Genomic DNA, 16,505 nt, shown 5'->3' with positions numbered 1-16,505 from the left:
TACAATGTGGAAATCAGCCATTTTCTGATGGGTTTCTTTGCATATGAACAGCCCTATGAGCATGACCCAAATGTAGATTAAAGAAGAAAAAACTTTAATGATCATTGAAGCTAACTGAAATGTCAGTGAACTTAGAGAAATGTAATTATGATGCAAATGTGAAATTATCAGCAGAGCAAAATAAACAAATCATCCGAACCTTTCTAAAGCCCCTTCCAGTTCTAAAATTACATTTGATTAAGGTCACAACTTGACTTATGAATTAAAATGGCAGAGGAAGGTAGCAGAATTCATGCCACTCTGGTAGTAATTTGTATAATTTGTATATTTTGTTCAGCTGAATTCAGGGACCATAATTTGTGTGGTTTTGCATAGCTTAAGTGCTTCTCCAAATTTGTATACATCCAATTGGCTTATTTTCAAAAATGTATTGTCTGACCATGGATAAACCAGCTCTGCATGTGGGTCGACATATATAGGAAATCAAGTTTATAGTACTTCATGCCTGTATGTGTGTGTGTGTATGTGTATATATGTATATATATATATATATATATATATATATATATATATATACACACACACACATACATAAGATATACATACATATCTTATAATCTAGTGTCATTTAAAATAATTTATTATACTGTATATTGTTTATTACATAGATATGTAATGTGATTTGCACAAGAGTAAAAATAAGTTCAAGGAGACATCTAATTTTTTATGATCATTTGATATTTTCTTAGTGTATCTGCCTTATTTTATTTTTTTAACTTTCTAACCCAAACTAATAGAGTGAAACAATTCATTATTTTTAATGAAAATGCTTTTTAAAAAGTACTCAGAGGACATTTAGATAGCTATATCAAATTAAATATCTTGCCACTTTCCATCTGGGCATTGCTCCAGTATTTTAAGCCACTAAATTTAATGAATATTTAAGATTAAATCTTAGTTCACTATTTCCCTAAAAGAGACCAAATCTCATATTGCACACCAAAAAGGACTGTCTCATAATTTTCTAACAATAAGTAAGTGTCTCTCAAACCTTACAAATTTGAACGAAGGATAAATTTGATAGTTTTATGTGATATTTTCAAAATTAAACCTCGTTCCATCTTCTCTCTCTCCCTTACCCCACAGCACACATAAAGGCAATCACAAAACTAAGTTAACTTAAAATTCCTTTTTTAAAAATAAAAATCATTATTTCCTTCAACAAAATTAATTATCTGAGATTCTTCTTCTTTTTTTCATTTAATAAACATGTGTTAAGTATCTAGCCACTGCAACATAAGATGCTGGGTAAATAGTGGGAAATAAAAGAGTATAGTTCTGGCATTCACCAAACTTAATGTCTACTGCAGGATATAGACAATAAACAGATAAACAACAAATATCAGGTTACACGTGAAGGAAAATAACAAGGTACTGGAAGGAGTAGTCAGGCAAGACAGCTCTGAGGGAGTGAAAATCAAGGTGAAGACTGAAGAAATCTGGCACAGTGTGTGTTGTGCAGCATGTTGTGAGCTGTGTTGGCTGGGAGGGTTGGGGAGCTGCCTGTTTCCATGAACTGAAAGAAGGCCAGCATGGCTGCAAGCCAGCCAGTAACAGAGAGGGTGGTGACAGATGAAACTCAAGAACATTCCAAAAGACTTTGACTTGATTCTAAGTGCAACAGGAAGCCCTGGCAGGGTTTTAACCTCACCTAATATCAGTGCAAAGAAAATATGCTGTTTTTAAAAAAATTTCCTGGAAAGACTCTGTTTGAAACTTTATGAAGAAATTTAGAAATCTGAGTGAGAATTTTGCATGAATTAGCTATGGCTTAAAGTGTGGTCATGCTAGAACCACAGAGTAGGCATTTTCCATTATTTTGAAAGGATGTGATGTCTTTTGCATCTTTTAAGCTGTTTGCCTGGCTGCAATGTGAAACTGGTTCCTGGTTCCCTCACTACTACTCTACTTGTAGAAAAAAAAGTGTTTTGTTGTTTTGTTTTGTTTTGTTTTTTACTAGTCTCACAGAATGAATTATCTTGATGACCTAAATCTCATTTTCATTTTCAGCATTTGTTTGATTAAAGCTCTGATGAGATAGAAAGTTTCTAAGAGAATCACATTTCTAAAATACAGAGGGGATTTAAAAAACATTTATTCAAGTACTATCTATTGCAGCAGTATCCAACAGAAATTTCTGTGGTTATGAAAATGTTCTATATCTGTGCTATCCAATATAGTAGCCAGTGCTCACATGTAGCTACTGAGTATTTAAAATCTGGCTAGGGTGACTGAAGAGCTGAATTGTTAATTTAATTTCATTTTAATTTGTTTAAAATCCATACACCACTAGTGGCTACAAAATTGAACAGCTCAGATCTACTGTATATGTATCAGGGGTTTTCAATTAGGGCAGGCCACTGGGAAACACAAACACAGCACCTACTGTCTAGAAATGTACAAACATATAAATATGACAAGACATGAACATGCATCTCTACAATATAAGTTAGAAAATATGAAGCTGAGTTTGGGGTTACCCCCTGGGGATTTCAGAACAGGGGTTGATGCTTTTTGAGTGAGAAGCTGAGGGGCATATGGGAGAATACTGGGGGAACCCACCCCCAATATTTCAATGTAGGTTCTTTCTATTTTCCATAAGTGTCGGCCGGCTGAGAAAGAGAGACAGTATAAAGAGAGGAATTTTACAGCTGGGCTGCTGGGGGTGACATCACATATCGGTAGGACCATGATGCCTGCCTGAGCCTCAAAACCAGCAGGTTTTTATTAAGGGTTTCAAAAAGGGAAGGGGTGTAAGAACAGGGAGTAGGTACAAAGATCACATGCTTCAAAGGCCAAAAAAGCAGAACTACTAATCAGGGTCTAACAAAGATCACATGCTTCTGAGGGAACAGGACAAAGGGCAAAAGCAGAACTACTGATATGGGTCCAACAAAGATCACAGGGCAAAGGGCAAAAGCAGAACCACTGATAAGGGTCTGTGTTCAGCGGTGCACATATTGTCTTGATAAACATCTTAAACAACAGAAAACAGGGTTCGAGAGCAGAGAACCAGTCTGATCACAAATTACCAGGGCAGAGTTTTTCCCCACCCTAGTAAGCCTGAGGGTACTGCAGGAGACCAGGACATATCTCAGTCCTTATCTCAACTGCATAAGACAGACATTCCCAGAGCAGCCGTTTATAGACCTCCCGCAAGGAATGCATTCCTTTCCCAGGGTATTAATACTAACATTCCTTGCTAGGAAAAGAATTTAGCAATATCTTCCCTACTTGCGTGTCCATTTATAGGCTCTCTGCAAGAAGAAAAATATGGCTCTTTTTGCCCGACCCCGCAGGCAGTCACCCTTATGGTTGTCTTCCCTTGTTCCCTAAAAATCGTTGTTATTCTGTTCTTTTTCAAGGTGCACTGATTTCATATTGTGCAAACACACATGTTTTACAATCAATTTGTACAGTTAACACAATTATCACAGTGGTCCTGAGATGACGTATATCCTCAGCTTGTGAAGATAACAGGATTAAGAGATTAAAGACAGGTGTAAGAAATTATAAAAGTATTATTTGGGAACTGATAAATGTCCATATTAAAATGAAATCTTCAAAACTTATGTTCCTCTGCCACGGCTCCAGATGGTCCCTCCATTTGGGGTCCCTGACTTCCTGCAACAGTGGAAGAACTGGCAACAGTTCTGGGTCTTGAAGGATGGGCAGGGATCTTAATATGTGGAATTGGAATGAAGATAATAAGAGCAAAGGAACCAATAGAAGAGGAGAACACAGGGTCAACATTAGTGACATGAAAATAATAGCTCACATCTGTCAAGCACATACTATGAAACGTTTTTCTAAGAGCTTTACAGGCATTAATTAATTAATTCTCACAACAGCTTTTAAAGCTAAATGCTATTGTCATGATCCTCAATTTATAGATAAGGAAACTAAGGGCAGTGAGGTCAAGCACATTGCTCAAGGTCAAGCTGGTGGTGACAGAACCAAGATCCGAACCCAAGAAATATGCTCCAGATTGGGCAGCTTCACAATGATTTTGCTACCTGATTTAAAAGTCAGGCATAGAGTATTCCTAATGAAAGCTTTGGGGTCAACTAATAATTATAGGGGTGGGATGTGGAGATCACCTGTGATGACCAAACACAGGTCCTCATAACAAATCCTCATCAGAGGATGGCAGGAAGATGAGAAAATAGTAAGAGACTTCCCAGTTTAAGGGTTAATGGGAGAACAAAGGTGGTGCTGTGTACTGGGAGAAAGGGAGGGAGAGAATGCAATGGAGACGTGAACAACTGACTGTAAGGATGTCTGAAACGCTAAAGCTCTTTGACTTGGCTTTTGAAGTTCTCCTGGTGGTCCTGAGTCATCTTTTTCTGTAGACATTTTATTTGATGGGTGAATTATTTCACTTTTTTAGGTCCTCACCTTTCCTCTTCTTTTTAAGTGTCTCCCTTACAAAGATGAGTTATATTATAGCTTGGTTGTTGAATTCATAATGTTTAATCACATGTCCATAGATATTCAGAGTTATGTTTAATCCTATCTGGAAATGGTTAATTTTATCTTGGAGAGCCATCATGTTTTGTATAACAGCATTATGAACACTATGTTAGGGTACATTTTTGCAGTGTCCCTTCTTCTGGTGATGTCATTATCACTTCTTCTAAACCTACATTTTCTTCTGTTACAGTTGCTCTTTTAAATGAGTTCATAACTCTGGCTTTGATTTTGTATAAGAAAAAATGTCCCAGAGTTGTCACAAGCAACAGCTTTGATAGTAGAAACATTACAACCATCCCAAAGGACCTGCCTGTGAGATTCACCCTCATTATTAAGATCAGGTCACCTGCCACAAAGATGAAATTGAACTTTTTTTATTGGTAAATACAGTTAATCTACAATTTATACATATGGAAAAACCCAATTAGTTCCTACAGTTGAGGAATATTTCTGGAGATCATACCAGCTGGTAGTCTAGATGGGACAGATGGCCTAAAGCTCTTTAATGGGGAGAAGATAATATGCTGGCTTGGAGAGATCTGAATAAAAGACTTTGTGAACTCAGTTTCTCATTTAAAAAGTATACTAGAATAATATTTTTACAGGCAGTACTTTTATGAGAATGGAAATTAGCTTCACAAACAGGATAATTTGCATCCAGCTTATATCAAATGATAACAAAACATAGCAATTTTTTTTCTGTCTTGGTATGTACTTGTAGATGTCAGTCTGCACACCCACAGGAAATAATTATGCTATAAATGTTAAAGCTTGAGGTCTTTTTGCTTTTTTTTTCCTTTTATCTTGTTTGAAAACTCTGAGGACTCCATCACTTACATAAATAACTCTTAGACCTTTAATCATCTTTAGTGATAATCGTACTAAGAGTGATGATGGTGGTGGTGGTTTGGTAATGATTGATATTAACTAACAATGGTACCTAACTTATAACATTACAAGAGTCTTTACATACATTATCACATATGTTCTTCACAACAATCCTTACTGGTATCCCCATTTTACATTATCATCTTCATTTTATATTAGCACATTTGATTCTCACAAAAGACAATTTTTATCCCCTTTTTACAGATGAGGTTGGGGTACATACAGATAGGCAAAGTAACTTGCCCAAGATCATCTAGCTAGTTGGTGGCTGAGATGAGATTCATCCAGGCAGATGGTTTTAGAGTCCACCTTAACCTGGTGTACACGATCCTCATAGCATTCCTTATATAACTTTCAAATGAATTAATAACAGGCATAATATGTATAGTGTTCTGTTGGTTGTCTAGTACTTTTGCTTACATTGTCTGACTCCCAGCAATTCTATAAAGTTGTTGAAAAATGGCCTTAAGAAGGAGGATGTGATGTTGCCAAAGTTGCCCCGGTAAGATTGTTAGAGCTCAGGCTTACTCCTTAGTTTTATGGAAACAAGTTCTGTGTCAATTTTAATTGTTTCTGTCATATCAGGATGGTATTTCCTGTGGAACTGAACACTGAGACAGCCACGGAGCACATCACATGCCTGGGGGAAACATTACCTGCCCTCTTAGTCTGAAGGTAGTGAACTGACTTTTGAAGCTTGGGCATTTGCAGGTCCCTCCTTTCCTTAGAGGTGTACGAGTCTGAAAATGTCCCTCTTCAGCCTTTTGCTCTTAACGGGGCTCAGCCAGTTCCTTTGATGCCTAGAAGTACGTCAGTGTATTAGTCTCTTCTCACGCTGCTGATAAAGATGTACCTGAGACTGGGTAATTTATAAAGGAAAGAGGTTTAATTGACTTACAGTTTCACATGGCTGGGGAGGCCTCACAATCATGGTGGAAGATCAAGGGACGTCTTACGTGGCGACAGGCAGGAGAGAGCTTGTGCAGGGAAACTCCCCTTTATAAAACCATGAGATCTCATGAGACTTATTCACTGTCACAAGAACAGCATGGGAAAGACCCATCCCTGTAATTCAATTACCTCACACTGGGTCCCTCCCATGACATGTGGGAATTGTGGGAGCTACAATTTAAGATAAGATTTGGGTGGGGACACAGCCAAACCATATCAGTCAGATTTCATTAAGGTTTTAGGTTAGTATTTTTGCTCAAATATCCCTTTGATTTAGATCAATGGTATTTCATAGGGTCTTAGATCAGAAAAGGTTAGATTAGAAATATGTGAATTATAACCTCGTGATTCCCAGTCACTAGCAGTGTGACCTCGAAAACCTGACTTATCTTCCTGGAGCGTTGGTTCCCTCACCTGTAAAATAATGATTAAAAAAAACCGGCTTGACAGAACTTCTCTGGCTGTTACATGAAATGCTTCATGTAAAGCACCTAACTCAATATCTGGATAGGAGACACTCAATGCATTTTGACAGGTACTTTTGGTATCATATTTAATTCAGAGCTGTCTCAGATCTAGGACATGAATGATTCTACCTTTATGCAGAAACTGGCAAAAGTGATTGATGCAACTCTTTCAGGGAGCTTTTCTGTTTTTGCAGTAAGTGCTCATCAAACGAAGGATAAATCACAAGGGTCTAAAGGGGAGACTTCCTATCTCCTATTATACCTTACTGCATTTGATGTGAGAAAGTATATGGCCTGGTAATATTTTTGACATTTTTGAAATGTATATCATTTATTTTAAAGGGTTTTTCTATGCAACTATGTTATTATATTTGCATTAGTTTGCCTGTTTCTCTTCTCTGTACTCTTCATTTACTTATGTTTCTTTATGGTTTTGTACTCATTTATCATGAGTACAAATGGATCTTTGTCCTCAAATTGCTTTACTTGTGTTACACTTCAAAGTTAGTCACCATTGGGCAAGTTTCTGAAAAGTTTTTCTCTGGGATGGTAACAACTTCTTGTTGAGAGATGGATGATTCTATCTTACCTATATATTTGTCTAGATGTTGTAAAAATTATTAAATAACTTTTTCTCTGTGTTGTTGGTAGCAGGAAAATCTATGGTAATAATTTTTAATTTGTGTTGTTAATACTATTTGTTCTTGTTAAAATACATTTTTTCTCCTTTCAACCAGATAGCTAGGGATTTTGCAAGACAGAAAATAGAAACTGATGCTAGAAACTCTTGGTTTCTTCTGTAGAAGCTTGGATTTGTTGCAGAGGTGATATGAATTGTTCTAAAAAGGGAAAGTAGAAATAAATGAAAGGGACTTATTTTTCTTTCCAGGTTGGCAGAATCCAGAGGTTTTCAGTATTCCAGGAGTATCAGGAAACTTTGCAGATTATGGCAACATCTGGAAAAGTTAGAAGCCATTAGAAGATGTAGCCTCTTGGGGGCACCTAGGCAAGCTGGACCTAGGCACAGGATTTATCCTGAGTATGACACACAAGACTGGACGTAGGTACGGGAATCCTGTATCTCAAGTCTTATGTGAAAGTGTGGATCCTGGCATAGGAATCCTATATCCCAAGCACTACACAGAAACATCAGAATTTCTGGCTGTGGAAAAGCTTATCCTGGGTGAGACAGTAGGTAAACCAGTGATTTTGACCAATAGCCTTACTGAAAAGTAGGGAAAGCACCCAATTTCTTAGCATTATGTAAGAGCCCAGGATCTTTGTATGATCTTTGTGTGTTCTTGTGGTTGATTTTCTATCATATGGTGTGATGCTAGAACAGAGTCAAATTTAAATTGGTTTTAAGAAAATAAAGAAATTGACTTATTTTTTGCAATTTGAGTTTGTGGATTGAGATTCATTTTACTACAGCTTCATGCATGTACAAGCATAATATTTAGCTAAACAACTCTTATGGATGCTGACATTTAATAACTAGCCCAACCTCTTGACAGCTGATAGCTCATGGTATTGTCTTTTTGTGTTGTTTACTTTTTTTAGTTTGTCTCTTTTTTTCCAGCTATGTTATGAGTTCCTGGAATACAGAAATCTTGCATTTATTTGCTGGCATTCCCTATAATATGTAGAGTATTAATTTAAATATCTGTGCCTGGATTCCCACCATTACATTTGTTCTGGAGGGTATTATAAAAGAGCAATATTTGTTTTTAATACAATGCTTATTTTCTTAGATTCTCAAAGGGTGATGTTAATAATTAATAGACTGTTAGGAGTCCAGTTAATAGTATTCATCTTAAGGGAAAAAATTAAGTAATAAAGGATGATGATAATCTAAAATAAAGTAGCCTCTTTTTGTAGAACTAGATGCGTTAATTTTTATTTTCTGGAAAATAGTTATTGTGAATATACCAATTTGTTTGTTACATGGGATACCTAGAGACATTTTTCTTGAGCCAAACATGTATGAATTTATCCAGCACATGATTGCTTGTAAATATTTCAGCTTAACTTTATTCACTGAAAAATTGGTGTAGCTCATCAAACAGTAAGAATGTTTGTGGATATTTAGAATTTCAAGGCAACCTCCACTATTAACTGCCATTTGGCCTCATTTGTAACCATGACAAGGGATTCTCACGAGATCTTGCCTCTGTTGGTTGAGACACATTTTGCAGCTTTCTTGGAACATTCTTTCATGGGCCTAGTTTAAATTCTGTCAAGCATCATGCTAGCTATCCTGTGACCTTTATCCTGTCATTCCACACATTCCTTTTCTTGGTCAAATCACACATACTACATTCATTTAGTCTTACAGGAAGGAAAAGAAAAACAAATATGCCACTCAGATGTGTCTACAAGGCTGTTTTATCTCTTCTTTCTCCAGTTATTTACTCTTTAAATTCAGTGGCCATATATGAGTAGCTCCCATCACAACATGAGTGGAAGGCTCAGCGAATCCTACCCACTTCGCTTGAGTTTTGCTGCAGATTCAGAAGTCCTGAAGTGGGATTATAAAAGGCAAGGTTTTATTGAAAACACCTGGATAACATTACATTGTTATCTATTTCATTTTGTTAGCTTACAAGCTTTCTTTTAGACATGAACTATGGCTTAATTAAAGTCTAAAATATTCCTTCACTATTCCACCCAAATCCTTATATAGTACTGTATACCCTATGGCAAATAGTGGATGAGAGAGTTCATGGAATAATCAGATGTTGGGTTTTACTCTTATCCATCTTTAACCTTGGAAATGGAGGCAGCTTATCAAGTAGGATTGAGTAGCATGTTTGATCTTTGCTTTTTAAAGTATTGTAAATCTGAAATGTGTTGCTGTTTACTAAGAAATCCCTGATTCTCTCATTTGTGTTACTTTTGCCATGTGTTTTCTAGCCAGAGGGCTCAAGTCAAGCATGTGGTAAATGTCTTTCTCTGTTAGTTAAAGTGGGACTAATGCTGCCTACTCTGTCCCTTATAGTAAGAGTAAAGTGGGAATGGAATATGTTGGCGCTAAAAAAAATTTTCATGTTAACTTAATTGTTGGTATTAAAAGATAACAAAACCTGTATTTCCCTTCCCCATTTTGCAATGAGCACAGCTTTCTGAATTTGTTTACCTCATTCAGACTGTTACTCAAGAGTTTTTTTGTCTTTGGTGTTTGATGTATAAGGGAATCCATTGCCTCTCTTTGGGGAATACACTAGCCTAGCAATAGGCCAGTCATCTCTAATAATAGTTCTTCCTTCTCATAAAAAAATCTGTGGGTACTAGGAAAAATTCTCTCTGATTTTTTTTTTTTTTTTTTTTTTTTTTGAGACGGAGTCTCGCTCTGTCGCCCAGGCTGGAGTGCAGTGGCGCGATCTCGGCTCACTGCAGGCTCCGCCTCCCGGGTTTATGCCATTCTCCTGCCTCAGCCTCCTGAGTAGCTGGGATTACAGGTGCCCGCCCCTATGCCCGGCTAGTTTTTTGTATTTTTAGTAGAGATGGGGTTTCACCATGCTAGCCGGGATGGTCTCGATCTCCTGACCTCGTGATCCACCCGTCTCAGCCTCCCAATGTGCTGGGATTACAGGCTTGAGCCACCGCGCCCAGCCAAATTCTCTCTGATTTTTAAGAGGTTTGGGCAAAAAGAAGGTGGGAGGGTTGGGGGAAGGAGGAGTTGACAAAGATTTTGAAGAGAGATCACACTTCTTGGAGTTGTAATCTCTTACCAGTTTTATGATTTTATGCTATTGAATATTTCTATGCATTGTTCTTGTTTTATGTACTTGATAGGATAATGAGATCACATAGCAGATATGTGGTATTAAATGATTCTTTTCTTTTTATCTTCATCCTCCTTTCCTAACAGGCTCAGCAGTCTCCATTGGTCTCAGTCCCCTCTTGTTCAACCTTCATGGTGTCTTTCTCTGTCCACTTGGTGATCTAACCTTGGCTTTTCCCAGTGAGCTGTCTGAATGCAGACTCTGGAGTCTTTGCTTGTAAAACGGTTGCTGCCATTTACCATACCTTAAAAGAATGACATGCATTCTAAGCATAGGAGGCAATTACATGATCTTCATGATAATTGGATTAATGCCTTACTTCTTTCTAGGATGTCAGTTCTAAACAGGCAGGACCCTGGTCTCATTAATTCCCTTGTGAATCGTAAAAGGCTAATATAAGTCTGACCTGTCAGAGATGCTCTACAAATTAAATAAACTTATGATTGAAAATGCAAATCATTAGAGTAGCATTTGAAGTGTGTAAAGTTCATGTGTAGAGTTAAATAACAAAAAAGAATTAAACTTCCTGTGGTTTAAATAAGTAAGGAAACTGTAGACACTGTAAATCTATTAGGTATATGCAAAATAATACCATTAGTTTCTTGTATCATGCACTACACTAGATAACTGCCCAGGTATGCATGATGAAGCCTGGAAAGATGAGATACCTACATTAAACATGTTTTAGGTGAACATATGCATATTAGGGTTCTCCAGAGAAATAAAACTAATAGTGTGTGTATGTGTTTAATTTATGCATTATGGGAATTAGATCACGTATTATGGAGGCTGAGAAATTCCACAGTCTGCCATCTGCAAGCTGGAGAACCTGGAAGTCCAGTGGTGTAATTCAATTTGAATCAAAGGCCTGAGAACCGAGGTAGGGGTTAGCGGCACTGGGGTGAGCCTTTGAGTCTGAAGGCTTGATAATGAGGAGCTGTGGTGTCCAAGAGCAGGAGAAGATGGATGTCTCAGCTCAAGATAGAAAGTGAATTTGCCCTTCCTCCACCTTTTTGTCCTATTTGAGCCCTTAATGGAATGATTAATGCCTACCCACATTGGTGAATCTGATCTTCTTTACATAGTCTACTTACTCAAATGCTAATGTCTTCTGGAAACACCCTCACAGACACACCCAGAAATAGCGTTTTACCAGCTATTTGGGTATCCCACAGCCCAGTCAAGTTGAGACATAAAATTAACCATCACAAAATGCTTTCAAATCCAGAGCAATTTATCATGGACTTTATTGCTCTTCTGAGAAAACATGTATTTTTTGAAATCTTTGAGCTGTGAAGCCTGGCATGGTGTGTCAGGAATTCTCCATCTTGGAGAGTTTCTTCTCAGAGCCACTCTCTCCTTGAGAGCTCTAGTAGAGCTTTTGTAGCTCCTCTCTTCTAGTGCTGAGTGCAGATTAGACAAAGGAATCATCCCCAAAATTATAGATTTGGAGCTAATGGAATCATGTTCATGAAAGAGAATAAACCTGGAGAGAATTCTAAAATTTGAATGTTATCATTAACGTGTTCCTCACACATCATTTAAGGCTAGCCATCCATTGCATATACAGTTTACCTTGAACAATGTAGGAGTTAGTGGTGCCAATCCCCAATGTAGGCAAAAATCCATATATAAGTTTTGACTCCCCCTCAAAACTTAACTACTAATAGTCTACTGTTGACTGGAAGCTTTGCAGATGACATAAACAGTTAATTAACACATATTCTGTATGTTATGTGTTTTATATACTGTATTCTTACAATGAAGTAAGATACAGAAAAGAAAATATTAAGATGATCATAAAATAATATATATTTACTATTTATTAAGTGGAAGTGGATCATAATAGAGGTCTTCATTCTCACTGATTTCATGTCGAGTAGGCTGAGGAGGAGGAAGAAGAGAAGAAAGGATTGGTCTTCCTATCTAAGGTGTGGCAGAAGAGGAAGAAAATCTATGTATAAATGCACTCATGCAGTTCAAATTTGTGTGTTCAAGGATCAACTGTATTAACTATGATCTAAGGAAGAAGGGAGACTAAAGCAGATTCCTATTCCATGTTGGGATGTGACAATATCAAAACTATATCTCAAGTCCAGAAACCACTAAGTATTATCCTTTCTACCCTATGATATATGATATACATATGTCAAAACTATACATTCTGAGTGAAATAATTTTCTTTGTAATTTAATGTATGCATATATGTTAACGTTAATACAATTTTTATTTATTTATTTAACTTACCAAACACCTTGGCCAGTCATACTCAATGTAAACCTAGCTTTTAGGGAAATATTTATTCCTCCAGTTTTATTCCTAAATTTTACGTAAAGTTTTACATATATATTACTTAGTTACAGAAGCAATATTGAAGAAAGGCTTCAATTTGCTAAATTTACCCTTGATTGATGATGCATGAGGATCTAAATTTTATTTCAGTAACTCATGGATGCAATTAGTTTTATGTGTAATGAGGATTAGATAGGTCAGAAATTTTGTCCCATTAAGTGGACTGCTGAGTAATAGAGAATTTTAATTCCAATCGGGCAATGAAGGAACACTGACACTAATGCAGTATTGTCATGACACATTGTGGAATGTTCTCATCAACCTTAAGCCACAGGTTATTAACATGTTTTCTGGGAACAACTCATGTGTTTTCAGAACTTGAAAGAATAAGTTGTTGATGAATCAATAAGTAGCCATTAACGTGTATTGATTATATAGGTAACCATAATTTAATTTATTGATATGCATGGCAAGCTGCCCTAGATTGAGTGACCCCTCATCCTTCTTATAGATTCACAGATTAGATGGCCATGTATTAACACGCATGCCATCAGGTAGCTGGCCTTCATGGAGATGTGTAAATTACCAGATGCAGGACAGAATTGGACTTTTAATGCAGGGGTCCCCAACCCTCAGGCCATGGACGAGTCGCAGTCTGTGGTCTGTTAGGAATCAGGCAGCACAGCAGGAGATGAGTGTCAGTGAGCAAGCGAAGCTTTGTCTGTATTTACAGCTGCTCCTCATTGCTTGCATTACCTCCTGAGCACCACCTTCTGTCAGATTAGTGGCAGCATTAAATTCTCATAGACACATGAACCCTAGTGTGAACTGTGCATGTGAAGGGCTCTAGGTTGCATGCTCCTTATGAGAATCTAATGCCTGATGATCTGTCACTGTCTCTCATCACCTCAAGGTGGGACCATCTAGTTGCAGGAAAACAAGCTCAGGGCTCCCACTGATTCTACATTATGGTGAGTGGTATGATTGTTTCATCGTATAGTATAATGTAATAATAATAGAAATAAAGTGCAATAAATATAATGTGCTTGAATCATCCCACAACTATCCCATCCAACCCTCCTTGTCTGTAGAAAAACTGTATTCCACTAAACCGATCCCTGGTGCTGAAAAGGTTGGGAACTGCTCTTTTAATGTCTATAGATTCCTATTCATCTTCATGGAAAAATACTTTAGCCATGCATATTTGATACTTCTCATATGTTTTCCCTTTCAACTTCTGATTTGTTTTTTTAAAAAAATAATTACTTGTTTAATGTCTAACCCAACAGGTCATGAACTTTGAGAAGTTAATAGTGTGCATTTATGCACAGTTGTATTTCAGTGCTGAATACAGTGCCTGAAATGTGACAGGTAGTCTACATATTTATTGAAAGAGTATAACTAAAATATTAATCAGTCATCTCCCTCTTTTGCATAGGTTGTAACAAGATTCTTCTATATAAAAGTAATTTTTGCTGGCCTTGGTGACAAATTTTTAGTACAATTTTCTCACACTTTTTTACTTCTGAGTACACAAGTAACATTAATGTAATAACTACAGGTCACTGTTGAAATAATTCAAATAAATACAGAATTGTAAACGGCAAGATGGAAAGACATAGATCTTCTTTTCAGGCAAGTAGTAACTAAATACTATATGGGGTGCTATATTGTACTGAATAACACCCTGTGATGCTACATGACACAATGTATGTATTTTATTGTCCCACCTTAACTTTTGTGGGACTGTACCTTAAAAAACATTGACCTGAAGCCTCTAATGCAGCTTCGTTTGGAAGAGGTCCAGAGTATATAATGTTTTGGTAACATTTAAGCATATGAAAGGCAGAAAAAACCCTTAACTACCATGCTGTTTTATTAGTGTCACTTGTCTCCTATTTTATATGTCAGAAGAAAACCAGGATACAATTGATGTGTCCATCTAAACAGAAAATTCCTAAAGGAAAAGCAGCTCCATTTGTAACCTACATTCTTGACACATTCATTTCATCATGCCTAATTCTTAACACCACTACTATGAGTTACTGAGTTGCTTAATATGTGCCACACCTGTATCATGCCCTGCCAAGCACAGGGCCTTTGGATATGAAGTCCACAGTCTGGATGGTTCAAGTGTTCAAGTGAGATGAACTTGCTTACTGGCCAGGGCTCAGGAAGGGTGTAGCTGGAAGGGTGAGATTTTCCACTCCCATTTTGCTTGATAAATCTTCCATAGAGGGGAAAATTCATGGAGGCAGAGAGTATAGAGATATTACAGATGAAGGTGTTTTAAAGAGTGAGACTGCAGGATATTTGGTAAACAGCCTCGGGTTCCTGTTAGGTGGACATACAGGTATTAGTCCATTTTCATGCTGCTGATAAAGATATACCCGAGACTGGGAAGAAAAATGTTTAATGGACTCACAGTTCCACACGGCTGGGGAGGCCTCACAATCATGGCAGAGGATGAAAGGCACTTCTTACATGGTGGTGGCAAGAGAGAATGAAAGCAGAAACCCCTTATAAAACCATCAGATCTCGTGGTGCTCTGGTAGTGCACCAGAGCAGTCTGGGGGAAACAGCCCCCATGATTCAACTATCTCTCACCAGGTCCCTCCCTCAACACATGGGAATTATGGAGAGTACAAGTCAAGATGAGATTTGGGTGGAGACACAGAGCCCAACCATATCAATACATCTAGATGGAGTTCCACCAACTTTTGTTTGGTAATAGCTTTATTGAGGTATAATTTACATACCATGAAGTCCACCCATTGCAAATGTAATATCCAGTGATTCTGTATAGATTTCTAGAGTAGTGCAACCATTACCACATGTGGATGTTCAAAAGGCTGTATGTCCTTCTGCCTTCTCAGCCCTCTGTTCTGCAATGAGAGTGAACTCTCACAGTGAGATCCTAATCTCTACCTCTTAAACCAGTGAAGGAATATTTTTAATTTGTGGTCTTTTTCTTCTCCATTGAATTGTAGTCATTTCTCTGTTGTCAGGTAAACATTATAAATTTGTTCTTAGCTTTGTATAAATTTGTTCTTAGCGTTCTAACATTTCAGGTTTCAATATATTGTTTGTTAGTGAGTGGAATGGCAGTGGAATGTGACAGAATGAAATTGTATGTTTAGGAATGTAAGTGCCTGTGTGGAGGGAGATAATAAAGTTTTCATTAAGTCACAAAATTCTATAACTTAGTTTTCCTTTTATATTTATGATAACATATCTATAGGCTGTTATATGAATATTCAAGTAAATTTTGAATATCTTAGAATTATAGGTTTTTAAAGTGGCAGTGGTTTAAAGTCATTTTCTGGTCTAATTTGAGCAGGTGAAATGTTATCCCCCAAACATGAAGCAGCTGATGCTAAGAGTGGCTAAATTTATTCATTCAGGTTTTCATCAATTATTTGATGAATGACTTCTACAACCAAGTCACAGGATTATTTATTAGTGAGGAAAAAGAAAAAGTGAAATTTCTGTGGTCAACTGAGCTGGCTTGGTTGTAACTGCTAATTCAGTGTTTGTTCATCAAATATATAATTTCACAGAATATCTACATCACACAAGGTCACTGTAT

The 16,505-nt window shown here is 37.1% G+C and overlaps 1 protein-coding gene across 3 annotated transcripts in view; it reads left to right on the top strand.

The window, feature by feature from the left end:
• Nucleotides 1-16,505, top strand: part of KCNIP4 (potassium voltage-gated channel interacting protein 4) — a 1,220,167-nt gene that overhangs the window by 127,911 nt on the left and 1,075,751 nt on the right. The gene's annotated exons all lie outside the window — the stretch shown is intronic.

This window comes from Homo sapiens, chromosome 4 (genome assembly GCF_000001405.40).
Source record: "Homo sapiens chromosome 4, GRCh38.p14 Primary Assembly".
NCBI classification, from domain to species: domain Eukaryota; kingdom Metazoa; phylum Chordata; class Mammalia; order Primates; family Hominidae; genus Homo; species Homo sapiens.
The sequence above is the reverse complement of the archived record's forward strand: the minus strand, read 5'-3'. Positions and strand labels throughout refer to the sequence as shown.